General features: G+C 51.1%; 6 protein-coding genes and 1 non-coding gene across 13 annotated transcripts in view, besides 13 other annotated features; 3 read left to right on the top strand and 4 right to left on the bottom strand.

Moving 5' to 3' along the window:
* SLC35A4 (solute carrier family 35 member A4) lies at nucleotides 165-4,437 on the bottom strand. Its single transcript, NM_080670.4, has 3 exons — nucleotides 4,407-4,437; nucleotides 3,294-3,392; nucleotides 165-2,700 (listed from the first exon to the last, which is right to left on the bottom strand). The coding sequence occupies exon 3, from the start codon at nucleotides 2,093-2,095 to the stop codon at nucleotides 1,121-1,123; it is 975 nt and encodes a 324-aa protein (NP_542401.1). The 5' UTR covers nucleotides 2,096-2,700; nucleotides 3,294-3,392; nucleotides 4,407-4,437; the 3' UTR covers nucleotides 165-1,120.
* Nucleotides 165-4,437, bottom strand: LOC131768270 (SLC35A4 upstream open reading frame protein). Its single transcript, NM_001394034.2, has 3 exons — nucleotides 4,407-4,437; nucleotides 3,294-3,392; nucleotides 165-2,700 (listed from the first exon to the last, which is right to left on the bottom strand). Exons 1-3 carry the CDS (start codon nucleotides 4,419-4,421, stop codon nucleotides 2,503-2,505), a joined length of 312 nt encoding a protein of 103 aa, NP_001380963.1. The 5' UTR covers nucleotides 4,422-4,437; the 3' UTR covers nucleotides 165-2,502.
* Nucleotides 4,235-4,841: an enhancer, noted in NCBI's record as "H3K27ac hESC enhancer chr5:139944009-139944615 (GRCh37/hg19 assembly coordinates)". NCBI's record gives its function as "activates a minimal SCP1, AML or CMV promoter by ChIP-STARR-seq in naive H9 embryonic stem cells {active_cell/tissue: H9 hESC(naive)}" and the evidence as "EXISTENCE:reporter gene assay evidence [ECO:0000049][PMID:30033119]".
* Nucleotides 4,360-4,479: an enhancer, noted in NCBI's record as "active region_23278". NCBI's record gives its function as "activates an Ori minimal core promoter by ATAC-STARR-seq in GM12878 lymphoblastoid cells {active_cell/tissue: GM12878}" and the evidence as "EXISTENCE:reporter gene assay evidence [ECO:0000049][PMID:35858748]".
* Nucleotides 4,667-10,997, top strand: APBB3 (amyloid beta precursor protein binding family B member 3). Of its 4 annotated transcripts, none has more exons than NM_133173.3 (13): nucleotides 4,667-5,068; nucleotides 5,350-5,513; nucleotides 5,595-5,671; nucleotides 6,542-6,602; nucleotides 6,766-6,912; nucleotides 7,038-7,165; nucleotides 7,416-7,421; nucleotides 7,564-7,678; nucleotides 7,816-7,900; nucleotides 8,164-8,247; nucleotides 8,511-8,626; nucleotides 8,761-8,952; nucleotides 10,444-10,997. In NM_133173.3, the coding sequence occupies exons 1-13, from the start codon at nucleotides 5,020-5,022 to the stop codon at nucleotides 10,678-10,680; spliced, it is 1,461 nt and encodes a 486-aa protein (NP_573419.2). In that variant the 5' UTR covers nucleotides 4,667-5,019; the 3' UTR covers nucleotides 10,681-10,997. The 4 variants fall into 4 exon arrangements, with proteins under 4 accessions (NP_573419.2, NP_006042.3, NP_573420.2 ...); NM_006051.4 differs by having other exon boundaries at nucleotides 7,543-7,678; NM_133174.3 differs by lacking the exon at nucleotides 7,416-7,421.
* Nucleotides 4,800-4,979: a silencer, noted in NCBI's record as "silent region_16451". NCBI's record gives its function as "represses an Ori minimal core promoter by ATAC-STARR-seq in GM12878 lymphoblastoid cells {active_cell/tissue: GM12878}" and the evidence as "EXISTENCE:reporter gene assay evidence [ECO:0000049][PMID:35858748]".
* Nucleotides 5,450-5,509: an enhancer, noted in NCBI's record as "active region_23277". NCBI's record gives its function as "activates an Ori minimal core promoter by ATAC-STARR-seq in GM12878 lymphoblastoid cells {active_cell/tissue: GM12878}" and the evidence as "EXISTENCE:reporter gene assay evidence [ECO:0000049][PMID:35858748]".
* On the top strand, nucleotides 5,514-5,594 carry MIR6831 (microRNA 6831). Its single transcript, NR_106889.1, has one exon. It is a non-coding gene; the product is annotated as a microRNA 6831 (primary transcript).
* Nucleotides 11,172-19,198, top strand: SRA1 (steroid receptor RNA activator 1). Of its 4 annotated transcripts, none has more exons than NR_045586.1 (5): nucleotides 11,172-11,837; nucleotides 11,933-12,118; nucleotides 17,081-17,283; nucleotides 18,096-18,204; nucleotides 18,354-19,198. NR_045586.1 is itself a non-coding variant. In NM_001035235.4 (5 exons), the coding sequence occupies exons 1-5, from the start codon at nucleotides 11,813-11,815 to the stop codon at nucleotides 18,563-18,565; spliced, it is 675 nt and encodes a 224-aa protein (NP_001030312.3). In that variant the 5' UTR covers nucleotides 11,792-11,812; the 3' UTR covers nucleotides 18,566-19,197. The 4 variants fall into 4 exon arrangements, 2 of the variants coding, with proteins under 2 accessions (NP_001030312.3, NP_001240693.1); NM_001035235.4 differs by having other exon boundaries at nucleotides 11,792-11,837; nucleotides 11,993-12,118; nucleotides 18,354-19,197; NR_045587.2 differs by having other exon boundaries at nucleotides 11,792-12,118; nucleotides 18,354-19,197.
* Nucleotides 11,363-11,422: an enhancer, noted in NCBI's record as "active region_23276". NCBI's record gives its function as "activates an Ori minimal core promoter by ATAC-STARR-seq in GM12878 lymphoblastoid cells {active_cell/tissue: GM12878}" and the evidence as "EXISTENCE:reporter gene assay evidence [ECO:0000049][PMID:35858748]".
* Nucleotides 11,513-11,872: an enhancer, noted in NCBI's record as "active region_23275". NCBI's record gives its function as "activates an Ori minimal core promoter by ATAC-STARR-seq in GM12878 lymphoblastoid cells {active_cell/tissue: GM12878}" and the evidence as "EXISTENCE:reporter gene assay evidence [ECO:0000049][PMID:35858748]".
* Nucleotides 11,513-12,559: a biological region, named in NCBI's record as "NANOG-H3K27ac-H3K4me1 hESC enhancer GRCh37_chr5:139936291-139937112".
* Nucleotides 11,738-12,559: an enhancer, noted in NCBI's record as "NANOG-H3K27ac-H3K4me1 hESC enhancer chr5:139936291-139937112 (GRCh37/hg19 assembly coordinates)". NCBI's record gives its function as "activates a minimal SCP1, AML or CMV promoter by ChIP-STARR-seq in primed H9 embryonic stem cells {active_cell/tissue: H9 hESC(primed)}" and the evidence as "EXISTENCE:reporter gene assay evidence [ECO:0000049][PMID:30033119]".
* Nucleotides 13,083-13,232: a silencer, noted in NCBI's record as "silent region_16450". NCBI's record gives its function as "represses an Ori minimal core promoter by ATAC-STARR-seq in GM12878 lymphoblastoid cells {active_cell/tissue: GM12878}" and the evidence as "EXISTENCE:reporter gene assay evidence [ECO:0000049][PMID:35858748]".
* Nucleotides 19,689-21,603, bottom strand: EIF4EBP3 (eukaryotic translation initiation factor 4E binding protein 3). Its single transcript, NM_003732.3, has 3 exons — nucleotides 21,425-21,603; nucleotides 20,189-20,359; nucleotides 19,689-20,031 (listed from the first exon to the last, which is right to left on the bottom strand). Exons 1-3 carry the CDS (start codon nucleotides 21,525-21,527, stop codon nucleotides 20,003-20,005), a joined length of 303 nt encoding a protein of 100 aa, NP_003723.1. The 5' UTR covers nucleotides 21,528-21,603; the 3' UTR covers nucleotides 19,689-20,002.
* The window catches only part of ANKHD1-EIF4EBP3 (ANKHD1-EIF4EBP3 readthrough), a 147,744-nt gene continuing 143,084 nt past the window's right edge, over nucleotides 19,689-24,348 (bottom strand). Inside the window, exons 35-36 of the mRNA NM_020690.6 lie at nucleotides 20,189-20,359; nucleotides 19,689-20,031 (exon numbers count right to left, since the gene is read on the bottom strand). Of these exons, the coding sequence (NP_065741.3) occupies nucleotides 20,028-20,031; nucleotides 20,189-20,359 (175 nt within the window). The 3' untranslated portion in view covers nucleotides 19,689-20,027. The remainder of the gene's footprint in view (nucleotides 20,032-20,188; nucleotides 20,360-24,348) is intronic.
* Nucleotides 20,533-21,240: an enhancer, noted in NCBI's record as "H3K27ac-H3K4me1 hESC enhancer chr5:139927610-139928317 (GRCh37/hg19 assembly coordinates)". NCBI's record gives its function as "activates a minimal SCP1, AML or CMV promoter by ChIP-STARR-seq in primed H9 embryonic stem cells {active_cell/tissue: H9 hESC(primed)}" and the evidence as "EXISTENCE:reporter gene assay evidence [ECO:0000049][PMID:30033119]".
* Nucleotides 21,241-21,947: an enhancer, noted in NCBI's record as "H3K27ac-H3K4me1 hESC enhancer chr5:139926903-139927609 (GRCh37/hg19 assembly coordinates)". NCBI's record gives its function as "activates a minimal SCP1, AML or CMV promoter by ChIP-STARR-seq in primed H9 embryonic stem cells {active_cell/tissue: H9 hESC(primed)}" and the evidence as "EXISTENCE:reporter gene assay evidence [ECO:0000049][PMID:30033119]".
* Nucleotides 21,391-21,480: an enhancer, noted in NCBI's record as "active region_23274". NCBI's record gives its function as "activates an Ori minimal core promoter by ATAC-STARR-seq in GM12878 lymphoblastoid cells {active_cell/tissue: GM12878}" and the evidence as "EXISTENCE:reporter gene assay evidence [ECO:0000049][PMID:35858748]".
* Nucleotides 21,948-22,656: an enhancer, noted in NCBI's record as "H3K27ac-H3K4me1 hESC enhancer chr5:139926194-139926902 (GRCh37/hg19 assembly coordinates)". NCBI's record gives its function as "activates a minimal SCP1, AML or CMV promoter by ChIP-STARR-seq in primed H9 embryonic stem cells {active_cell/tissue: H9 hESC(primed)}" and the evidence as "EXISTENCE:reporter gene assay evidence [ECO:0000049][PMID:30033119]".

The following is a 24,348-nucleotide window of genomic DNA, read 5'->3' as shown; positions in this document are numbered from 1 at the left end:
CTCAGTTCCATGGAACTCTCACAGGAAATAATGCCACTGGCAACAGCTTGGAGAAAACAATTTTTTCTTAGTCTAAAAGTTATCCCAGAATTAAGATACTCAGGACCCCAGAGGAACAAAATTGTTTGAGGGGAGTTGCGCAGACAGAAGACACAAGACAATCATGGCTGTGGTTGTAGGAACCACCCTACAGCCTAGAAGACTTTATTAAGATCTTATTGCTTATGCAGTTAAAGAGACACTGATTGAGCTACAGGTTTCCTGTACCTGGTCTCAGGTCACTCTGTGCAGAGCTTCCCCAGGCTGTTGGGAGCTGGGAGACTGCTAGGCAGGGGCAGGCCCCAGAGTGGGAAGCATGGTACCTCCTAGGAGCCTCAGAGTGGGTAGCGGGCTTCAAGACAGCCCTCAGGGTGAACAGAGAGGTCAGGAGTGTCGGCTTAAGCCAGGGCCCAGGGGCTACATTCCCTGAGATGAGTCAAGCCCAGCCCTCTCTGGGGTTTCCAGAACAAAGGCTAGGTGTGGGGAGCAGCACTGTGGAGAGGGCAGGGAGCATGTCTCTAGGCATTGCTGGAACTGGAGGAGACTGTCAGAGTGGTTTGGGTAATGGTTGTATAATCTGTGGCAACTGGGCCTTCTTGCATGAAAGTGGAAGGGTGAGGATCCCTTATGGAAGAGTCATGCACCATGGCTGGGCTGGACTAGCCAGCTCCAGTGGCTCTGCTGGGTGACTAAAGTAGGCAAGGAAAGCCACTTGTTGCCCACACCCCACTTTCATCAACTCTGTTCATGCAGGACAAAGCAGGGAGCTGCCCAACAAGGATGGGGTTATTTCTCAGGCCTAGGTATTGATGTTACCTTAATTCTTTAGTCTGGAAGAACTTGGTTGGGGGTGGGGGATGGTAAGCATTTCCTTAACCAAACCCACACTTCACATCTCCTAGGGGTACCCCTTCATCCACCAACCTCCAGAGAATAACCTGGCTGCCCTCACTTCTCCAGCTTTTCTCACAAGGCACTTGTTACAGGGCTGCTGATGGGAGAGGGAGGAAGGCCTGGGAGGGGGATCTGGTGGTGGCGCCCAATCTACAGGGTCCGGAATCAGGGTGGAAGTTGTCAGGGACTAGCGGCTGCCATAGTACAGGCGCATGGCCAGGCCAATGAGCAATGTGGCCAGGAAGAAGGCGGCTGTGAGCTGCAGCCGTAGCAGGACTGCTGAGAGCACGGCGTTGACCACCAGCGAGCAGGACACCACAAAGAGGCGTGTGATGCTGCTGCCATGCTTCATGACAGCAGACATGAGCAGTCCATTTAGTGCCTGGCTCAGCACCACGAGTGCTGCCCATCCTGAGAAACCTTCCAGGAGGCCTGGGCCAGAGCCGCCGCCAGCATGCAGACCTAGATTCAGAAGCACACCAAAAGTGTAGAGGAAGAGGTTCTGAAGTGCCAGGGGCAGCCGCTGTCGCTTCATGAGCAGCTCTGTGTACACTGACGACAAGCCTGAGATGAGGCAGTACAGAATGAGGAGCAGCAGGCCTAGCGGAGTGATATGCAGGGGCATGGGGCTGGCAGCAGCTGCTGGAGGGGGACTGGGAAGGGTGTTCCCGGGAACTTGAAGGCCCCCTGCTGCATAGCAGGCTCCCGCAGCCATCAGCAGCAGCAGCGCTAACCCCTGACGCACAGAGAGGCGGTGCCGGAGGCAGAGGCAGTAGAGCACAGCTGTGCTTCCAATCTTGAGATTACTCAGCACCTGGTAGGTGCTGGGGTCCATGTAACGCTGAAGATAGATCACCAGGTTGTTGTTAGCGCCATAGAGCAGGGCTGATAGTGCGAAGGGAGCAGCCTGGCGCCAGGGTGGGGGCCCCTGGGGCCATGCTTGCCAGCCTACCAGAAGGGAGAAGGCGCATAACAGTAGCTTGGTCAGCTCAGTCAGCAGCACGGCTGAGGAGGGCCGGAAGGGCACTCGGCCGTCCACATGGCACAGTGCCAGCAATGGGGCATGGGCACCGTACATGGCAGTGGATAGGAGTAGCATCAGGGTCCAGCGGGCCTGCCTGGGACGGCCCAGGCCTGGCATACCCCCATCCTCTACACTCATACCCACACAAGACCCTGGGTGGCTAAGGGGCAGCAGGGATTGCAACACGTTTGGGGAAAATCAAGTTATGGAGCCAGCTCCCAGGAAGGAGAAGCCGTGGAACATTGCCAGAGAGAATACTGAGGATCAGAGGCATCTACCAACTCCACAGTCAGGGCTTGAAGAGTAAGGGGCTGGTGGTCCTTGAAGCCACAGTCTTGGGGCGAGTCCCATGGAGCTAGGAAGGGGAAGAAGGAATCCAGGGTGCAGGCTGAGGAACTACTGTCCACAATCTGCAGGAAGGGAGGCAAGGATGAAGGTGGCAGGAAAGTTGGAGATAGCAAATGGATGACAGCTGGGGAATCCAGATAAAGTGTCTCCACCTGAAGGCTGAGCTGCTCATCCTGCCTCTTCCATGGCACCTAGAGCTAGTCGGGCCCCTTGCGTAGCAACTGCAAATAGTCCCTTAATGTCTTCTCCACGTTGGGCACAGCATATGCCTGAGCCGCATAGATGCCAGTGCAGGTGCCCACAGCAAAGCCCAATACTGCTGATGCCCTCAGTTTGGCCACCACATAGCCAGCCAGGAATCCCTTGAGGAACGGGGAGGACAACAGCGAGCCATCCTGCAGAGAAAAATGCAGAAGGAAACTTAGCTAGGCTCCTTCCTGACTGTCCAGGGGCTACTCAAGCTGGGATTAGAGCATTCCACCACCAGCTCCTCCTCACCCTGGACAACCGTGGTATTTTCTCCAGATTTTTCCCAAGGTTCTGGGGCCAGAAAAAGAACCAAGCAGTTCTGATCACACAATCTCAGAACCCTGGGGTCAGAAAGCTCCAACCATAGAACTCCACCGCCACACAAGGTCAGAGATGCCCCTAGCCCTGCCGGTTTCTCCAGCCTCATTTCCTAGCATGCTCCCCAACTACTGTAGCCAAATGGACCTCCTTTCACCCCTCATGTTTATAATGCTACTTCCTACCACAAGGCCTTTACATATGCTGTTCTGCCTGGAATGTTCTTTCCTCCCCTCTTCACCTACTTAACCACTACTTAAGATATTAGTTCATGTGCCATTCAGAAAAATTGTCCTTAGGGTGACTGAGAATAGGCCCTCAATAATCACTTGCTGAAGAAATCTCTACCATCCATTTAACACTCTCAAGAGCATGTTGGGCAATAAAGCCTAAGGCAGGGGTGGGGTGGGACAGTCCTTACCTGGCCCACTCCACTGTTGACTTCGTCTTCTACACGCCGCTGCAGGCTTTCCAGCTGGTTCTTGAGAAATGCCAGGTCCTTAAGCTTAGGCAGAGAATCCTAGGACAAGCGAGAGGCTGGCTCCAGCAGTCTGACTAAGCCCCACCCCTTGCTCAATTCCATCAGAAGCTGGGAATTGGGAGGGGATGGGGTGAGCCAGAAAGACCTTTTCCTATAAAAGCTTCCTGAGATGGCAGTGGCAAAGAAAGACAAGCATTGAAAAGCACAGAATTCAAATGAGGGCCAGGAAGGGACTGACAGATGGGATCTGAACCAGTAACTTACATCAACCTTGACAAGAATTTTATATAGCAAGCAGTATGTAGGAAAGGCAGGAGGGACAGCTAGGGACCTTTAATTAGGTCCATCAGGAAACCACTACTGACTCCATTATGAGCTCCTTGAAAGTCGTGACCAGTCTGTCTTGGCTACTATGTTCTAGTGCCTGACATTTAGTAAATGTGTGGGTAATGCTGAGCTTCTAGACCAATGGTGAGTAATGGACCGAGGCAGTTTCCTGGACAATTTTATTGTCTTGGTTCCTGGATGGGCTTTACCTCTTTCTTCCCAAGGACATCCCAAACTGAATGTGAGTGACTGGATGTGACTGAGAATGACAAAAAAGACTGTCGGCAAGTGTGTAAGTAAATGGACTGAGTGATTTTGATCGCATATAAGTATGAAATTCAGAATGTATGCAAAGGAGTGTTTGAATGAGGGTGGTGTGAGTGTCCGTGTGATTGGAAACATCGTGTCACTGGGAAGAAAATTTCGGGAGCTAGGGAATGGGGTAAAGTGAGGAGTGTTTAAGGGTGAATGTTTTTGAGTCTGTGCTAGTAACGGGTTCGTGATGGTTCCCAGGAGGGGACATCTGGGGGATCCACGGCTCCTCCCGCCTCGCCGAATGCTCTCCCCACACCACTCCACACTGTTGAGGCAGTTGACAGGAGCCGCAGAAGAAACAAGGGACATCCTCACTCCTGAGCCGCTCCAGAGTCGCTTCTCCCCGGAACTAAAAAGGTCAAGGAGAGTGAAGACCACGCCCGGCTGCAGATCACCCCCACGGCCACTCACCTTGTCATCCGCCATCTTCCCCGCCGAACTTGTTGCGCAGGCGCATCCCCGCCTCCCTCGTGCCGACTGCCCCGGCCATCTTTACGGAGGGCGAAGGCACTTCCGGAGCATTTTTGGAAAGGGGGAGGTGCTTTCCTAGTGGCCAAGTACGCCTCTCTCAGATACTTCCACGTGACCCCCTCCCGTCGAGTCTCAGGCTGCGTGTGAGCGCACTCACGACCGGGGCGCGATGATCTCACTCGTGCGCGAGTGCGCGCGGCGCATGTTCGGCGTGTCGGTCTTCAGGCGCCTGATGAGTTCATAGTTGGGCGGTGGTGTCAGCGGTTTCGCTGGCGTTCGTGGGCCTCCCCCGGACCCACACACGGAAACACGCAACCATTCGGGGATCCAGACGCCCGTTTACACGCACCACCCCTGGGCGGGCTGTGCGGCTCAGGCCCTCCCCCGGGACCGGCCCGTGTCCCGCCCCGTGTCCCGCCCCGTATTTGTGCGGCGCCAGCTGGCCCCGCAGCCTGCGGCGCAGAGAGGCTGGGCTTGCAGGCGCAGTAGCTCCAGAGGTCGCGCTGGGCTGAGAGTGCGGGCCGGCAGAGGCTGGCGGGGAGCAGCCGGGGTTATGCTGGGCAAGGATTACATGCTGGCCATCATTCTGGTCAACTGCGATGGTGTGCACGGAGGGGCCCGGTGGGAAGACCAGGAGCTGAGGGAGGACGAGGGAATCCGAAAGGCTACTCTGGGGCTCAAAGACGGTGGGGGATACCTCTCTGTGTAGGGACCAGGGGGCGAATGAACCCGGTCTTTACATGTGATGTCTTCAAGATTGAGGAGCCTGGATCTTCAGCCTAAGAACTGACCCATTTTGGGGATGGAGAGGGGATTATGACAGCATGTTATTCTGAACTCACAAATCATATGCTCCCTCCTCTCTAATCCGGTGTTCCTGTAGATGACTTGTGGGGGGACCACAGTCTGGAGGTGGAGGCTGGCCTGCCTCCTGGCTGGAGGAAGATCCACGATGCTGCAGGTACTTACTACTGGCATGTACCCAGCGGTAGCACCCAGTGGCAGCGCCCAACCTGGGAACTAGGAGATGCAGAGGACCCAGGCACGGTAGGTAGAGTGTGAGGAGGAGGTCTGAGCCCATGTGTGGACCTAGGTCTGCTGTTAAACTGACTAACTCCCACTCTACAGGGAACGGAGGGGATCTGGGGACTGCGGCCCCCCAAAGGGAGATCCTTCTCCAGCCTGGAGAGTTCACTGGACCGGAGGTAACGGGTGGCCCAGGCAAAATGAAAGGCTTGGGGTTCCATGGTGTTCAAAAATGCAGCTGGACCCATGGTCTGCTTTCCAGCCCAGGTTCTGGATTCTGTCACATGTTTTGGGTTCTGTTACGTTCTTGGCTCTGTCCCAGGTTCTTAACTGTCAGTATTTTGAGTTTTATCCCTTGTTCTAAGCTCTTGTTTGTAGCTACATGTTTTTCATATTCTTGGTCCTAACCTATCATGTTCTAGACCTTGGCCATTAAGTCCTCTGTTCTAGGGTCTCTTGTCCCACTTTGGGGTTCTGGTCCACATATTGGACCCTGTTCTATTTTGTGACTTTTATTTTTTATTTTTTGAGATGGAGTCTCACTCTGTCATCCAGGCTGGAGTGCAGTGGCACGATCTTGGCTCACTGCAACCTCCGCCTCCCAGGTTCAAGTCATTCTCCTGCCTCAGCCTCCTGAGTAGCTGAAACTACAGGCACATGCCACCATGCCCAGCTAATGTTTGTATTTTTAGTAGATATGGGGTTTCACCATGTTGGCCAGGATGGTCTCGATATCCTGACCTCATGATCCACCCGTCTCAGCCTCCCAAAGTGTTGGGATTACAGGCGTGAGCCACCACTGCACCTAGCCTTGTGACTTTTATTCTATGTCCTGTGTCTGGGTCCTATGTCCTGAATTTTCCCTCAAATTCTGAGTCACACTTTATGTTACGTTAATATGTCCTGGGCTCTACCCTGCTCTGGTTTTATATTTCTGGTGCTATATTCTGGGTCTTGCCCCTCATCCTGTGCTTATCAAGTTGTCTAGGCCTCACCAGTGTCCCTACTGTAGGAAATGTGGTCCTCTTAACAGCTCTGCTCTGTTTCAGTAACTCTCTGTCCTGGTATGGTGGGGAATCCTACATCCAGAGCATGGAGCCAGGGGCTAAGGTAGTGACTTGGGCCTGAGGGCATTGGGAGGTCCCAAGGGAAAGACAAGGGTGGGATTGGACTGAACAGAGGTGATCAAGGGTGAAGACAGGGAGTATGTATTGTGGCACCTGCCACCCTACTCCATCCTTATTAATTCCTGTCCCTTCCCCCAACCTGTCAGTGCTTTGCAGTCCGCTCTCTGGGCTGGGTAGAGGTACCTGAAGAGGACCTGGCACCGGGGAAGAGCAGTATTGCAGTCAATAACTGTATCCAGCAGCTGGCCCAGACCCGCAGCCGGAGCCAGCCTCCAGATGGTGCCTGGGGTGAGGTGAGTTGGCTGGGCCCTTTAATGGTTTGGGCCCAGGGCCCAGCAGAGGTAGCTGTCCCTGAATTTCCTATTTCTCATGGCAATGACCTTTATCTGAGCTCTGGGCTGACCTCTGTCCTTGGCAGGGCCAGAACATGCTGATGATCCTGAAGAAGGATGCCATGAGCCTAGTGAATCCCCTGGACCACAGTCTGATCCACTGCCAGCCTCTGGTGCACATCCGTGTGTGGGGCGTGGGGAGCTCCAAGGGCCGGTGAGGATGCCTACATCCCCCAAGCAAGAGCTACTTCTCCCTCCCGGCTGCAGGCTGTGATCCCCACTGATGCTGATCCCCAGTACTTGAACCCCTGGACACAGATCCTCTGATGTGGACCCAGGACTGCTTCCCCTGCCTGGTCCAGCCCTGGTTGGGGAGGGTGGGCCCAGCTCAGCAGGGACAGTTTGGGGAGAGTCCGAGAGGCTGGGCTGATTCCCTTCTGTGCTCCCACATGCTTCCGGAACAGTGACAGGTGAGTGAAAACCAGGTATCCTGAGCCCCATCCCTGATGTCCCTACTCCATCCCTGCTATATCCCTAGCCTGACTTTCCAGCCTCCTGCAGGCTCCTGCCTCTAACCAGCTTCTACCCCAGCCCCATCTCTGCCCCTGCTAGGGACTTCGCTTTTGTGGCAAGTGACAAAGATAGCTGTATGCTCAAGTGCCATGTGTTTTGCTGTGATGTCCCTGCCAAGGCCATTGCCAGTGCCCTACATGGGCTTTGTGCCCAGGTAAGTGTCAGGGGTGGGGCAGGGAATGTGGGTAAGGGGTTGGGTCTGAAGCTTCCAAGGTAGTTGGGGTGGTATTGGCCCTTTTACCCTAATTCCCCTCTCTCCCTGTGGGTCATGCTGGCTTCATTGTGTTTTAGATCTTGTCAGAGCGAGTAGAGGTCAGTGGTGATGCCTCTTGCTGCTCCCCAGACCCCATCTCTCCTGAAGACCTGCCACGGCAAGGTATGGGGAGGGGAGACCTGCATTGCTGCATTGGGGTGCTTTGGTGCTGCTTTGTGGGGGGGCGATTTCTGGTTATTTAATACTTCTGTGGATAAATTTCTGAGATGTCTGGTCTCAGGGATCCCAAGCCACTAGTTGGAGGAGCATCTATGAGCCATTTCTTCTACCAGCACCAGCTCTGACCTGAGTCCTGGCCCATTGAGAAGGGTGGGGAAAAGGGTAATTGAAAGAGCTTCCAGGCCAACTTGGTGTGTATATTTCAGTGGAGCTGCTGGATGCGGTAAGCCAAGCTGCTCAGAAGTACGAGGCACTGTATATGGGGACACTGCCAGTCACCAAGGCCATGGGTGAGGACTGAGGGGGCTGCATGTGGTGGGCTGTGTGAGGCAAGGGGAAGGTGAGTGAGGTGAGGCCTGTTATCATTTCTCAAGAGTCCTCCCGTGGCCTTGTTATGGCCTGGGGTCTACCAGCCTTCCCAAATCAGAATTCTAAGGCTTGCCCCAGCTATCCTATTCCCTATCTCTGAATCCCAAATCAGTGAGAGGGGGCTAGACACTCCCTGCAGACTCTTTCTTTTACACTGGGAGACACGCTGGGTATGTTCCCCCAGGCATGGATGTGCTGAACGAGGCCATTGGTACCCTCACCGCCAGGGGGGACCGGAATGCCTGGGTCCCCACCATGCTCAGTGTGTCTGACTCTCTCATGACTGCACACCCCATTCAGGTACCAGAAGAGGGTGAAGTTGGGGGCTTTGGAGGGGTGAGCAGGGATGCTGAGGGGTCACTGCTTGCTGTCGGAAAAGTTAAGTGGGTCTGGCCCGTGCTTGGCCCTCTAGTGACTAGGCCTGGTGTGGGCAGGCAGAGGCCAGTACAGAGGAGGAGCCATTGTGGCAGTGCCCTGTGCGCCTTGTGACATTTATTGGTGTTGGCCGCGACCCACACACCTTTGGCCTCATCGCTGACCTGGGCCGTCAGAGCTTCCAGTGCGCAGCCTTCTGGTGCCAGCCCCATGCAGGGGGACTCTCTGAAGCTGTGCAGGCTGCCTGTATGGTGAGTCATGGGTGGGAATGGGTTGGTGGGATTGCCCTGCAGCTGCTCTCCACTGTTTACTTGGGCTCCGGGTCGGCAGCCTCTTCAGAGATCACAAACCTGGGCTGATTCTGGTTCATTAATGTTTTGGCCCTCATGTTGTTTTTAGTAAGTTTTAATTAGTTGCCAATATTTAAAGGCCAGGACATTTCACATAATAATCGCTATTCTTGTTTTTCTTAAAATATCAAGAGCTCTGGCACTCAGTTCACACGTGTAAGTGTCAGCATGCAGCCAGAGTTGTGCAGAAGCTGTGCCCTAAAGAGTTGGCATTGTTCCTGTTTGTCTCATTTAGGTTTATTTCCTGGCATCTGTGGGCATTTGAGTGTGGGTTGCTTATACTTCGTTAGTTCAGTTTGCCCATTCATTCAACAAATATGGGTGCCTACAGGGTCCCAGACACCATAGCTGACCCTGAGAATTTAGTGCTGTAGAGGGCACAGCCCTTGCCTTCACAAAACACTTAGGATAGAGCCAAGATAGACCAGAAATAAGTTGTACACCACTGGTTGATGGAAGAGGTGGCCCCTTTAGGGGTCAGGAAGGCTACCTGTAAGAGGTGATAGAAATCCGACAGTCCAAGAGGGAAGTTAGCCAGGTGAAGGGGAGTGGGGCAGGTGTACCAAGCACAGGGAACCTTAGCTGTGAAGGTGAGAGATATTAGTGGATGAGAGTATCTGAAAGAATCTAGTGTATCTGGCATGCAAGGGGGACGTAGTGAGAGGTGAGATCAGAGAGAATGACAGAAGCCAGGTTTGGGGGACCTCATAGGTCAGGGTGATGAGTTTATCTGGAGGCACTAGGAAGCACTGGAGCCCGAGAGTGAAGTCAGGGTTATGGATTAGGATGACCACTTAAGCTATAGTATGGGTAAAAGATTTGGAGGACGTAATAGGAGGTAGGAAGGCCAATTAGGACACCTTTGAGCTGTTCAGATGAGATGACTGGGAGCAGTTGCATTGGGGCTGGAGTTTGAGTTGTACACCTTTACCCTTGACTAGGGAATCTGCTTTGCCAGGGACTAGTCCCCACCAGTGAGAGATGGAAAAGAGGCAACATAGTGGTACATGTAATTAAGAGTTTAGGCTCTGCAATCAGAGAGAACTAGGTTTGAATGCCATTTCTGCCTTTCTCTGGCTGTGTGACCTTGGGCAAGTCATATACTCTCTGAATCTCAATTTCCTCTTTTGCAAAACAGGGATAATAACCCCTCATAAATAACTGAATTATACAAAGCACTTAGCAGTGTCCAGCCTGCCCTCCTTAAGTGTCTGATACATGTTTTATGATTTTGTTATTGAGCTACCTGGGAATGCTCTAGAAACTCCACATGTGGCTGACTACCAACCTTGTTATCAGACAGAAGCTTTGGCCAGTTCCCTGTCCTGCAGAAGCTTTCAGGGAGTCTAGAGGCAGAAAGTAGCTGGATCCTCACATTCCCCTTCTCCCTAGGTTCAGTACCAGAAGTGTCTTGTGGCCTCTGCAGCTCGAGGCAAGGCCTGGGGTGCCCAGGCCCGTGCCCGCCTGCGGCTCAAGCGGACCAGCTCCATGGATTCCCCAGGAGGTCCCCTGCCCCTCCCCCTGCTCAAAGGAGGGGTTGGCGGTGCAGGGGCAACCCCTCGAAAGCGGGGTGTCTTCTCTTTTCTTGATGCCTTCCGGCTGAAACCCTCTCTGCTCCATATGCCCTAAACTTATCTGGGAAGGCTGGGGAAGTAGGCTCTGGGTCCATGCCTAACTCTGTACCGTTTTATTCCTCAAGGCCTATAGCCTGTCACTCCTTGAAGCCTTCTCTGCCTGTCCCTCCGATCCTTGTCCACCGTCTATTTATTGCCCAATTTATTGTTTATACGGATGACTGGGAGGCACTGCACCACAACGTAGGACCCTGGCTCCCCTTTCCTTGGGTCCTTGTGTTCCTTGCCCCTGTCCAACCCTGGACAGTTGGCTCTACCTCAGTAACACTTTATAGCAAAATCAGTGCAAATAAAAATCCCTCAGTGACCTCACTGGATGTGAGTATATTGGGCCTGGGACAGGGCTGGGGGCTAACACCCTGTGTGAGATGAGTGTCTTTGTGTCTGTGCTTGATGTTGGTGGCTCTCTGTAGTCACATGACAGCATGGGTGTGATGGAGATCTGACTTCATTCAACAAACATATTTTCTAAGGAGTTCCCTGTGCCAGGCACTAAGCTGGGCACTGGGAATGTAATAAAATAGTCAAGGTCCCACCTTCTAAGACTGTCCGACAGGGAAACGAACAAGAGTCAAATAAGGCAGAAGATGTGATGTAATACACCTACGAAATCTCAGAGGGTTGTAGGGTCGTGGGAGCTCAAGTGAGACACTTAACCTGGCCTGAGACATTCCAGAAGGCCTCCTGAAGAACTGACATCTGAACTGAGAACTGAAGGAAGATGAGTACTAGTGAGGCTACCGGACGTGAATGTGGAGATTGTGCAGGGCAATGCAAGAGGAGGCTGTAGAAGTCAACCTGGCTAGATCACAGCGGGGTGTATGTGGGGCAGGAGCTTCTTTGTTTGAATTTGCTCCTGAGAGGATGAGGCCTCCTAGAGCACTGGCTCCTGGACAGCAACCTCCTTTGGTGCCTTGTGACCAGGGCCCTGATGGTTCATTAGATGGAGCCTTCGAGTCTTAGGGAGTTGCCGCAGGGTCCCCACAGCGGCTCCCGACGGTTGTGAACCAGCATCCATCCTCCACGGATTCCGGCAACCCGCCTGGCCCTGGACGTGTCTCAACTGGCCCGCGTGAGGGGCCGCCCCGGAAATGACGCGCTGCCCCGCTGGCCAAGCGGAAGTGGAGATGGCGGAGCTGTACGTGAAGCCGGGTGAGCGCAGCCGGCGGGCTAGGGCACTAGGTTGTCGCCCCGGCCTAGGCTGGGGGCGGTTGCGGCGCTTAGTATGGACCCTCTGTCTCCCCCAGCCCCAGTATAAGCTAACAGTGGAGTTCCGGGCTCGCTTCACACATCCCTCGCCTCCGCAGGCAACAAGGAACGCGGCTGGAACGACCCGCCGCAGTTCTCATACGGGCTGCAGACCCAGGCCGGCGGACCCAGGCGCTCGCTGCTTACCAAGAGGGTCGCCGCACCCCAGGATGGATCCCCCAGAGGTGCGTGGGGCCCCTGTGCTCGGAGACAGACGGAGAATGGGGGGGGGGGGGTGTAAGGCATAAGCCTGTTTGGAAGGCTTTTTTCTCTCCCCGAGGGCTCCTTAAGGAGAGAAGTTTTGGGGCTCCAGTAAGGGTCTCAGAGCAGGTGCTTTTCCGAGCCCCTTCTCTGCTGCTCAGGTTAATAAATGGTGTATTGATTTAAAAAGACTATTTTTTCATCCTAGATGATCTTATCCAGACCTGTGGCTTTTAATATAGTTTTAATCCTGAAGTTATTTTTCTTTGTTAACCTATACCTCTTGCCAGAACCGTATAGTGGCATATTCATTTGTCCATTCTGTCTTCACTTAGGTATATGATAATCGTCAGACTTCACAGTTTTTCATTCATTTAATCACTGTTATTTACTGAGCACTTCTATAAGTCAGGCACTGTTTGAGGGCGAACTAGACAGCAGTGAGAAAAAAAAAAAAAAGATCTCTGCTTTCAGGAAGTCCACGTTGCAGCACTGGAGATGGGCTGAAAGATGAAATAGTGGTGAGGGTGCTACAGAAAATAAGCGGTGATGTAATATGACTGGGTAACGAGGTGTCTGAGGGGCTGACATTTAAGCCACACAAAGATCATGTACAAAAGCATTCCAAGCAAAAGAAACAGCTGCAAAAGGAATAAGTTTGGCCAATTCAGAGACTGATGAAATACAGAGTGGCTGGCTACAGCATAGTGGGCTTTGTAAAGCAGGATGAGGAATTTGTATTTTAATCTACATAAAGTTAGAAGCCATTGAAAAGTTTAAAGTAGAGGAGAGCCACCTTTCCCCCCGAGAATTTTCCAAGCCATTAAATGGGCTGTGCCGTGGCCCCCATAAAGGGGCTCAGGTTTGGTTCTTTCAGTGGCCCTCCATTCTCCACACCCTTTTTGCTGTAGAAGAATGATACAAGGCTTGGTTTCTTAAACTCAGCAGTATTGATAGGTTGTGGCCAGATAATTCTTTGTGAGGGACTTTCCTGTGTCTTATGTTAATCAGCAACTCTGACTTCTACCCAAAAGATGTCAGTAGCATCCACCCAGTTGTGATAGCCAAAAGTGTTTCCAGACATTTGCCCTGTGGGCACTATCTTCCTAGCTTGAGAACCAGGGACTGATTTACATTTTGGAAAGATCACTGTGTCTGCTGTGTGAAAACAAGATTTTAGGGAAGTGGAAAGACAAATTACAGCTATTATGGTAATATAGGCAAGATTTAATGATTTGCATAAGGGTGGGAGTCAGGGTGGTAGGAGTTGGATGGATATGAGATGGAGAAGGTCAGTAGGAATGAGTAGATTAGGAAGAATCCATATAACTGAATTTTTTTGCTTGATATAGGAAGACTGGGGATGGTGGTTTTGGGGAGGGGGAGTTTTTTTGGGGGGCCATGTGAAGTTTAGGCTGTTACTTTTGGGGAATGTTCTAGGCCAGAATTAGAGAAATAAGTCACCATTACAAGGATGGTATTTGATGTCATGGGCTTGAATATGGCCAGGGACAGAGCCGTAGGGCACTCTAGCATTTCAAGGTTGAGAAGGAATCAGCAAAGGAGATTGGGAAATGGCCAAAGAAGAAAAAAGGAGAGGCCAGGCGCAGTGAGTCACGGCTGTAATCCCAGCACATGGGGAGGCCAAGGTGGGCAGATCACCTGAGATCAGAAGTTCAAGACCAGCCTGGCCAACATGGCGAAACGCTGTCTCTACTAAAAATACAAAAATTAGCTGGGCCTGTAATACCAGCTACTTGGGAGGGTGAGACAGGAGAATCGCTTGAACCTGGGAGGCGGAGGTTGCAGTGAGCCGACATCGCACCACTGCACTCCAGCCTGGGCGACAGAGTGATATTCTGTGACAAAACCAAAATAAAAAAAGAAAATAGGAGAGCGTAAAGACATGAATCAATAGTAATGAATGCTGCTGAGACATCAAGATAGAGACAAGGGGCCAGGCGCAGTGGCTCACGCCTGTAATTCCAGCACTTTGGAGGCCAAGGCGGGTGGATCACGAGGTCAGGAGTTCAAGACCAGCCTGGCCAACGTGGTAAAACCCTGTCTCTACTAAAAATACAAAAAATAGCCAGGTGTAGTGGCGGGCACCTGAAATCCCAGCTACTCGGGAGGCTGAGGCAGGAGAATCATTTGAACCTGGGAGGTGGAGCCTGCAGTGAGCCGAGATCGCACCATTGCACTCCAGCCTGGGACTCCATCTCAATAAAAAAAAAAAGAGCGACAAGGAACCAGTAGATTTGACAAACATAGCAGTCACTCGTGATCATAACAAGAGCAAGTCTCTGCAGTAGTGAGAACAGAAACAGCTGGAATGGGCTGAGGAGAGAATGTGAAAAGTAGAGAGAGTGACTATAAAGAGCTCACTCAAATGCTGCTGCAGAGATAAGAAATGGGACAGTATCTGAAAATGGAACATGAAGTAAGGGAGTGTTTTGATAGTAATATACTAGAGCATGTTTGTACACTAACGGGATGATTCAGTAGAGAGGGGGAGCTGATGATGCAAGAGAAGATAGTTACAGTAGGGAAGTCTAGAGAAGACAAGAGAGGCTAGGATGCAGAGTACAGCTGGTAAGATGGCTTTTGATAGGAGCAGGAACCTTTTCATCTATTACAAGAGGAAGAAAAGTGGCCACAGATGCAGGTGGGTTAGGAGGAATGGTGGTGGGAAGATGAGAGAGTTCTGTTTAATGACCTCTACTTTTCAATGAAACATTAGGCAGTGTCAGAAGAAGATAGCAAGGAAAGGAAGAGAAGTTCTGAAGAGTGGAAAAAATGAGCCAAAATGTCCAGGCAGTATTTGGTACCTTTTAAAATCTGTGGCCATGAATTTAAACTATCAGCATGGCTCTGTTTTCCCTCCCAAGTGCAAGCAAGTTGGGTTTAACCAGGAAAGTGGGACAATGGGAGGAGATAAAGGAGGTAAAAATATTTATAAGGGGGTGATGTTAATGTACATTGAAATCAAAGTAGCTGAGCTGGAAGGGGTAAGGGGGTGATCAGATTTTGGAGGTGATAGTGTGAACAAGGCAGGGGGATGACAGGCTGATGTAGGGTGGGAAAAAATGATCACTGGAGGTGAAGAGGTCAACTGAAACACCAAATTATTAGATGAATTAATCATCCTTGTGGATGTTGGTACCTAAAAGTAAACTTTTGACTTTTGTCTTCCAGTCTTCTTTCTGTTAGTGGTTCCCATTACTAAGTCAGAAACTACGAGTCACCTTGACTTCTCTCTTCCTCACTCTCAATCCACTCCTGTTGCTACTTCCTCCTAAGTAAATCTCAGACTACTCCATTCCCCTCGTCTACTCTTTTACCCTAGTCCATGCCAGCATTATCTCTTTCCTGAACTACTCAACCTCTCAACTGGTGTTCCTGCCACCACTGTTGACCTGTTTTCATCAGTTTTTCACAGAGCATACATGTTTAAAAATAAGTCTGGTCACATCACCCCTTGCTTTTACAAACCTGCAGTGGCTTCCCAGTACCATTGACTCAAGATCAAACTCTTCCAAAGCCCCACAGGGTCTGGACCCTCTGCTTACCTCTCTAATGATAGCTCATACTACTTTCTTCAGTGGTAATAATTTTTAGCCATACAGGCCTCATTACTGTCTCTTGAACAAATCAAAAGTTTTCCTGCTTCTTGGGCACTGCTCTAACCTCGACCTAGTACATGTTCCTTCAACTCTTCATAGCTGCATCTATCTCATCCGGTAGTTCTCAATTTAATAAAAACAGCTCATTTTGTACTTTTTGCTACATACTAGTCTAGCAGCTGTCTTTTTTTTTTTTTTTTAAGAGGGTCTTAGTATGCTGCTCAGGCTGCTCTCAAACTCCTGGGCTCAAGCGATCCTCCTGCCTCTGCCTCCCAGTGTGCTGGGATTAGAGGCATGTGTCACCACACTCAGCCTGTACCTGTATTCCTAATCTTCATTGCAACCTTGTGAAATAAGTGGCATTATATTCATCCCCATTTTACAGAAGAGGAACCTAAGCTCTAGTTGAAAGTAACTTGCTGAAAGTCACATAGCAAGTGAGCTCAGATAAACTTAAATGTACCTCAGAAGGCCTTCCTTGAACACTTAGTCTAGATAGGTTCTCCCATTTCTCTTTATTGCATAAACCATTTTATTTCTTGGTAGCATGTAACATAATTTAGTAATTTTGTGTTTTTTTCCCTGCCTCTAGAATTAAGCTCTCTGAGGTCAGGAACTTAATCTGTCTGGTTTACTTCCTCCTGAGTAGCCAGGACTATAGGTGTGTGCCACCACACTTGACTAACTTTTAAAATTTTTTTATAGAGATGAGGTCTCACTATATTGCGTAGGCTGGTTTTGAACTCCTGAGCTCAGGTGATCTTCCTACCTTGGCCTCTCAAAGTGTTAGTATTACAGGCATAAGCCACTGTGCCCAGGCCTGGTTTACTTTTCTTTTCTTTTTTTTTTTTTTTGAGACAGAGTTTCACTCTTGTTGCCCAGGCTGGAGTGCAATGGCACCATCTCAGCTCACCACAACCTCTGCCTCCCGGGTTCAAGCGATTCTCCTGCCTCAGCCTCCTGAGTAGCTGGGATTACAGGCATGTGCCACCATGCCCAGCTAATTTTTGTATTTTTAGTAGAGACAGGGTTTTGCCATGTTGGCCAGGCTGGTCTTGAACTCCTGACCTCAGGTGATCTGTCTGCCTCAGCCTCCCAAAGTGCTGGGATTACAGGTGTGAGCCATCACACCCGGCCACCTGGTTTACTTTTCTAATCTTTAGTGCCTAGCATATTGTCTGGCGTAGAGTGGGGACTTCATAAATGCATATTTTTGAATGAATAAGTTGTCTCAGAGAGTAGCCCTTCTTAGAAGGGGTGAATTTAGAGTTAAGCTTCTTACCCATTTAAGCCATGTTGCTTGATCCTGCTGTACCTTTTCAGTCCCCGCATCAGAGACTTCTCCTGGGCCTCCCCCAATGGGGCCTCCACCTCCTTCAAGTAAGGCTCCCAGGTCCCCACCTGTGGGGAGTGGTCCTGCCTCTGGCGTGGAGCCCACAAGTTTCCCAGTCGAGTCTGAGGCTGTGATGGAGGATGTGCTGAGACCTTTGGAACAGGCATTGGAAGACTGCCGTGGCCACACAAGGGTAAGCTCTGGCACATCAGAGGTTAGAGAGGGCTCCCATCCACAGCCAAATGCAGGAATGGTTCCCAGAGATAGACCCTCTGACCCAGTGGACAGGTTCTTAATCCTTTGAGAGTTACGGACTCCTTCAGAATCTGCTAAGGCCTTCCCAAAGAAATGAACACAGGATTTCAGGAGCATTAATAAGACTTTTGAAGACCAATCAGTAGAAGATGCTGTGGGAACAAGAGTTGAATTCAGCTCCTATTAGTGAACAACCTGATTTTCTGTATCTCCATGCCATTCAGAGCAGAAGCTGCTGATTTTATTCTCAGGAAATTTATATTGTGCCCAGTTAGGGAGAAAGAAACCTCTTCTAGCTATAGTGTTTTCTTAGTTCTTAGAAAAAGAGATCTGAAGAATGTCTTAAAAGAAAGGGAAAGTAGCATGGTCATTTCACCTCTTTGGCGCTTAGTTTTCTTTTTGTGAAGTAACGCTACAGGATGAGCTTCTGAGAGTCTGAGAAGCCCCTGAAATTTTAGAATTCTAGTCATAGTAGGAGGTGGGTTAGGAAGACTGGTGGTGGGAAGATGAGAGAATTCCTGTTTAATGACCTCTACTTTTCAATGAAACATCAGGCAGTGTCAGAAGAAGACAGCAGGGAAAGGAAGGTTTCATCAGTTTCTCAGTGGGGCCTCTAATCTTTGGGTAAAGAACCAGAATTCTAAAGTGTGGGCCAGAGAAAGCAGGTGCTTCCTATGTGGTGCTGTCTTCCCCTCTCCTCCCCTCATTGGGCTGGCAGCACTGAATTGGAGGGGGGCTTCTGTCTCTTAGAAGCAGGTATGTGATGACATCAGCCGACGCCTGGCACTGCTGCAGGAACAGTGGGCTGGAGGAAAGTTGTCAATACCTGTAAAGAAGAGAATGGCTCTACTGGTGCAAGGTATGGGTGGGTTCTTTGGTATAGCCTAAATCCCTTTCCTGCTGTGGTTGGCTATGCTGGAGCAGGTGCTGAGATTTTGATTGACTGGGAGGGGAGGCATGGAAGCTCTTGTACCACAGGCTGCTTGCTCAACCCCCGTCTCTCTTCAGAGCTTTCAAGCCACCGGTGGGACGCAGCAGATGACATCCACCGCTCCCTCATGGTTGACCATGTGACTGAGGTCAGTCAGTGGATGGTAGGAGTTAAAAGATTAATTGCAGAAAAGAGGAGTCTGTTTTCAGAGGAGGCAGCCAATGAAGAGAAATCTGCAGCCACAGCTGAGAAGAACCATACCATACCAGGCTTCCAGCAGGCTTCATAATCCTCGGTTCCCCAGACTCACCGGACACCATCTCCTATGCCTTGGAGACCTTCTGTCACTTGGCTCCCTTCTTACCACCACCAAGACTGTCCCACTGGGCCTGACCCACCTATGAGGGAAGAAGTCCCACCTGGGCCAGAGGGAGTTCATGTGTTACTCATAACATGCATTTCAATAAAAACATCTCTGCGGTGGGCCTTGGGTAGGAGAGATGAACCCTTCCGGTGCCAAGCTAGTCCCCTCTGGTGTCCTCGACTGCCCTGCTCCCTGTGTATCTGCAAACCTCTGTTCTCCCTTCTCCATTCATCAGGAAGGGATCTGCTGGGTAAAGTCAGACTACTGCCTACCACTTTTTCCCAAAGTAGACTGAAAGCACATCCTGTGCTGGGCGGAGCAGCTGTGTTTGGATGGTTTCATTTCAGCATGAGAACAGACTCAAATAGAACGGGGAGACTTTTCCCTCAACAAAAGGAAAGACAGTCCTATTTGCACTGTATCACCCTTGAGATACTACTGTTACAGAGATTAGAACCACATTGAGTGGGGTTTTCTGTGTAAATCGAAGGAGAAAAAGACCAGATTACTGAGATTGGGGATTGTAACTCTGACTTGCCAAACAAACTGCTGCCTCATTTTGGGTTTCAGTGTGAACTCTAAGGTCTCTTGTAACCCTTTGAGAGAGGTACTTGGTGGACTATCATGCTGTGAGAAGGGTACAAGGTTTTTGGTGTTGGAATAGAGGAACTGGTGCTTAGAGGTGGGAAGCAGAAAAGGCACAGGGAGAGACAGGATGGCTATAGGCTGGGACAGCACCTCTTTTCCAAGAGTCCTGCTTTGGAATGGATAGGGGAGGGGCTGCTGGGGGGCCCTGGTTCCAGGAAGGCTGCTTCCTGGGAAGACAGGAACAGCCCTTGGCAGTGGCCAAGCTATTGCTGTTTATGGTTTGGAGGCTCATGTAACCTGCCACTGTAGCGTGCCTCAGGTTCTAATTGCTGCTGGAAGTGGGCCTGGTGGGAGCTGGGAATGATCTGAGGCCTCTGAGCTTAACCAGGCCTGCCAGGGCCTTCAGCTGTGTGGCTGAGATGAGAAAATCAGCATTGAGGAGAACACTGGAGCCAAGGCATTTCTTTGAATGTTTACTAAGCAGTCAGAAGGTGACTTACTCCATTCCCCAGTTCCAGCCCCTGAGCATAGAGGGTTTAGGGTTAGGAGGAGTACCACAGACTGAAGAGGAAGTAGAGTTAAGGGCTTGGCAAGTTGCCCACTCCTATCCCTGGTCTAGCTGCCTCAGAACTAAAGGAGGCCTGGAACTAACAAGTCACTCCCTTCCAGATTAGATGAGGCCAGCTGGCCTTTGGATGCCCCAGGAAGAGGTGGTGGCAGCAGTGGCATGAGGGATCCCTCTGTAACTCCACATGCCAGGTCATCTGCACTGGATTAGATGTCCATTTCAAATTGTGCGTCATCTGGAGAGAGAAAAGGCAGGAAGACAGGTTGCTGGTCTGAGGATCTGCAGGCTCAGCATCAGTGCAGAAACCCCTCTTGGAACTGAACCCCCGCACTGTGTCACAGTGGCATTTGAACTCAAAGGCTGGGACAATTCTTAATTCCTGCTTTCCTTACCGGGTATCTCTTCCTCTGTCTCCTGCTCCTTCAGCTCCTCCAGCTTGGAGAGAGGGGCTGTTGGAGGAGTTGTGACCCCGGGAATCTGAGGGAGGCAGCAGGGGGGTGTCCGGGCAATGGGTGAGTTCTTGCACTCCAGCAGGAACTTTCGGTCGTAGATGATCCTGGTGCCTGTCAAGGGGTTGGGACTGAGGTAAGAGTCAGGAGCTTGGGTACCGAGGTGACTGGGGTCCCAGACTCAGGCCTTTTGGGGCCTGGAGGTGAGGGTGGTGTCAAATTTCCCTGTGTATCAAAGGACATCGGCTCTGAAGCCCAGCTAGGTTCTCAGCAGACAAGCCTTCATAGTGCTTAAAATCTTCCAGACCTAACCAAGATGTGGGTATAAAGCAAGGGGGGCATCCCAGCTGGTATAGGCAGGGGCTTTATGTTTGGGAGAGCTTCAGATCTTGGCTCTAAGAGGAACACCAAACTTTGAGTTCAGGTACTTCATGCTGCTCCTCTACCACTCTGAAACCTCTGCTTTGGTCTCACCAGTGAAGGTGAGACCTAGACTAACAGCCTCAGGTGGTTCAAGAAGTGAAATAGCAGTTGTGAAGGGTTCCACCCAGTGCTGTTACCTGGGCTATCTCCTGCAGGGAGGAGAAACGTACTGTTCTAATCCTGACCCCTCCCAGGTCCTATAAGGTTCACACTAGCTCAGAGGAACTTGGCCCGCATAATGTCCTCAAAGGGTCCTGCCCTGTTCCTCCCCTCCGCTTCCGCGTGGCAGGAATCCCTGGGTCGGGAGCCCAGCAGCTCGTGATCCCAGGCTGCTCGCCCAACCAAACAGACGCCAGCCAGCAGCACAAAAACGGAGCAACTGCCCCAACTGTTCTAACTACTCCACTTCTCAAGACCCGGTGCTTCCGGCTGAGGTCACGCTCAGTAGGGGGCCCTGGCCCCTATTCCTAGGAAGCAAAGTCGCGAGGGGTAAGGAGCGTGTGTAAGGCTCCAAGAACCCAGGCCACAGTGAAGGATTACAGCCCAAACACCCGGAAGCTAGGCTCATGGCCTTGTTGCATCACTTAGAAGTTTTTGGGAACTGAGCTTCCGCTCCAAACATTCTCCCCCAAAGCTACAACCTGTAGAGGGGCCTGCGGACAAGTCTTAGGTCTGTCCCTCCCCTACCCCCGCCCCGCAACAACACGCACGCGCTAATATGTCCGCAGCCTGCGGACCCCTGCCCGGCCCGCTGACCTCCGGGGGTAGTGGCGTATAGCGTGCCCCCCGGCGTGGTGCTGTAGCAGTCGGGCAGCTGGTCCCGGCCCCCGGGAATCGGGCAGCTAGTGGACGTTGACATAGCGAGCGGGAGGAGCAGCAAAGTAACCGCCTGGCGTTGAGGTCGAGGAGCGCAGCTCTGAGTCTGAGGCGGACTCAGCCGACCACGTGCAGCTGCTGGCAACAACACTAGAACAACGTCACGCCCAGGGCGGGCCACCGGCCGTCACTCAACCCGACGGTCCCGCCCTATCTGCTAGGAAGCCAGCCCGGTTCAGAGAAAGCTGGAAATGCGTCCAAAGTCCCAGGCCCCACACCAGCTTCCAGTTCCTGCTGGCCCAGCGCTGGCCAACCTGCCTGAGTGCTGCAGCAGCTCAGCTATTTACTGTTTATAGCCGGGAGCTGGGGGCAGGTGAAGTAGGGCAAGCGTTTTTATCCTGTATTAGTTCACCCATTCCTTGCCAACTTTTGGATAGTAAAGCACTATGATTAGCCAAAGTCACACATCTTGCAGGAAGGGAAGCTGGGATTCAAATCTGACTGCATCTGATTCCAGGACTGTGCCCTTAAGCCCAGCTGTGTACTGCCTCCCATAAACAGTAACAGTACAAGGCCGGGTGCGGTGGCTCACGGCCTGTAATCCCAGCACTTTGGGAGGCTAAGGCGGGTGGATAGCTTGAGCCCAGGAGTCTGAGACCAGCCTGGGCAACATGGTGAAACCTAGACTCTACTAAAAATACAAAAATTAGCCGGGTGCGGCAGCATGCGCCTGTAGACCCAGCTACTCGGGAAGCTGAGGTGGAAGGATAGGTTGAACCCAGGAGGCGGAGGTTGCAGTGAGCGGAGATTGCACCACTGCACTCCAGCCTGGGTGACACATGCCTTGATGGCCTGGAGCACAGCAGGAAGGGGAAGGTCAGTGAGGGCTGGTCATCTTTCTGAAGAAGTGGTACCTGGACTAATAAAAGGATGAGTCAAGTTTGGGGGCTACAGCTGAGGCATCACCAGTCAGAAGGCCTGCCCTTTGATCTCTTTGCCAGTTAACTAAGGAGGGGCAGGGGGCTAGTGAGGAGGGCTTGGTCTTTAGAAGGAAAGAAAGGTCAGAGAGTTTGGCCTTGGAGTTTTTTTTTTGTTTTTTTTTTTTATGTAGACACAGTGATATGACAGGCTGGAGCAAGGTGGTGGGATTGGTGAAGATGTATATATGCTGGAAATCTTGAATTCATCAGGCTGTCCTGTTTGGCTTCCTCAAAATCAATACTGCCTCCACTGTCCCTTCCCCTCACCAAAAATTAAGTATAGACCACCTGACTGCATCCATTTATCAATATTAACTCAGCTCTGGCTTCATCAGATTTCTCCTTAGGTCTGATTTCTTCACTCATTTAAAAAAAGATTGCTTCTCAAACTATTTATTTTCTGAGATAGGGTTTTGCTCTGCTGCCTAGGCTGGAATGCAGTGGTGTAATCTCAGCTCAATGCAAACTCTGCCTCCTGGGTTCAGGCCATCCTCCCACCTCAGCCTCCTGAGTAGCTGGGACCACAGGTGCCCACCACCACACCGGGCTAATTTTTGGATTTTTTATAGAGACAAGGTTTCACCATGTTGCCCAGGCTGGTCTCGAATTCCTGAGCTCAAGTAACCTATCTGCCTCGGCCTCCCAAAGTGCTGGTGTGAGCCACCACACCTGGCCAGCTTCTCAAACTTTAATGTGCATATAAATCATCTGGAGATATTGTTAAAATGATAATTCTGATACAGTATTGGTCTGGGTGAGATTTTGGATTTTTTTTTTTTTTTGACACAGGGTCTCACTGTCACCCAAGCTGGAGTGTAGTGGTACAATCATGGCTCACTGCAGCCTCAACCTCCTGGGCTCAGGTGACCCTCCCACTTCAGTGTCCTCAATAGCTGGGACCACAGGTGCATGCCACTGTACCTGGCTAATTTTTAAATTTTTTGTAAAGGCGGGGTCTCACTATGTTGCCCAGGCTGGTCTCAAACTTGTGGGCCCAAGCGATCCTCCCAAACAGGCATCCTCCGAAACAAGAATTACAGGCATGAGCCACCGTGCCCAGCCAGTTGTGGATTTTTTTTTTTTTTTTTTGAGATGGAGTTTCGCTCTTGCCGCCCAAATGGCATGATCTTGGCTCACCGCAACCTCCGATTCCCGGGTTTAAGCGATTCTCCTGCCTCAGCCTCCTGAGTAGTTGGGATTACAGGCATGTACCACCACACCCAGCTAATTTTGTAATTTTAGTAGAAACAGAGTTTCTCCATGTTGGTCAGGCTGGTCTTGAACTCCCGACCTCAGGTGATCAGCCTGCCTCGGCCTCCCAAAGTGCTACGATTACAGGCATAAGCCACCACACCTGGCTGGTTTTTTTTTTTTTTTAAGATGGAGTCTTGCTCTGTCACCCAGGCTAGAGTTCAGTGGCATGATCTCAGCTCACTGCAACCTCTGCCTCCTGGGTTCAAGCGATTCTCCTGCCTCAGCCTCCTGAGTAGCTGGAATTACAGGAACCCACCACCGCACCGGGCTAATTTTTTGTATTTTTAGCAGACATCAGGTTTCACTATCTTGGCCAAGCTGGTCTCGAACTCCTGATCTCCAGTGATCTGCCTGGCTTGGCCTCCCAAAGTGCTGGAGTTACAGGCATGAGCCACCGGGCCTGACTGCAACTGTGAGTTTTTAATACAGTAATGCAAACGCTTCAGGGCCTCAGAAACACACTTCAGGTATCAAGGGTATGTATATTTTATTGTCCCGAAAAGGATTTTGAGTATCTTACAAAATGGTGCATGCCAAAATGAAGTGTCTTAGCAGTGCTGGAGGGTAAAGCTTGGGAACAGATTGTAGTGAATCATTTATGATAACTAACCTTTTATGCAACGTGAGGAA

Source organism: Homo sapiens, chromosome 5 (genome assembly GCF_000001405.40).
Source record: "Homo sapiens chromosome 5, GRCh38.p14 Primary Assembly".
Taxonomy (NCBI): domain Eukaryota; kingdom Metazoa; phylum Chordata; class Mammalia; order Primates; family Hominidae; genus Homo; species Homo sapiens.
The sequence above is the reverse complement of the archived record's forward strand: the minus strand, read 5'-3'. Positions and strand labels throughout refer to the sequence as shown.

Bases quoted from the DNA above. Each gene is read 5' to 3' on its own strand.
- SRA1 (NM_001035235.4), top strand. From the start codon at position 11,813: ATGGCGGAGCTGTACGTGAAGCCGG. The intron at 17,284-18,095 runs GTAAGCTCTGGC...TCTGTCTCTTAG, and splicing joins ACTGCCGTGGCCACACAAGG to AAGCAGGTATGTGATGACAT. The intron at 18,205-18,353 runs GTATGGGTGGGT...GTCTCTCTTCAG, and splicing joins AATGGCTCTACTGGTGCAAG to AGCTTTCAAGCCACCGGTGG.
- EIF4EBP3 (NM_003732.3), bottom strand. From the start codon at position 21,527: ATGTCAACGTCCACTAGCTGCCCGATTCCCGGGGGCCGGGACCAGCTG. The intron at 20,360-21,424 runs GTCAGCGGGCCG...ACCCCTTGACAG, and splicing joins ATACGCCACTACCCCCGGAG to GCACCAGGATCATCTACGAC. The intron at 20,032-20,188 runs GTAAGGAAAGCA...TTCTCTCTCCAG, and splicing joins GACAGAGGAAGAGATACCCG to ATGACGCACAATTTGAAATG.
- APBB3 (NM_006051.4), top strand. From the start codon at position 5,020: ATGCTGGGCAAGGATTACATGCTGGCCATCATTCTGGTCAACTGCGAT. The intron at 5,514-5,594 runs GTAGGTAGAGTG...CCCACTCTACAG, and splicing joins ATGCAGAGGACCCAGGCACG to GGAACGGAGGGGATCTGGGG. The intron at 7,679-7,815 runs GTAAGTGTCAGG...ATTGTGTTTTAG, and splicing joins TACATGGGCTTTGTGCCCAG to ATCTTGTCAGAGCGAGTAGA.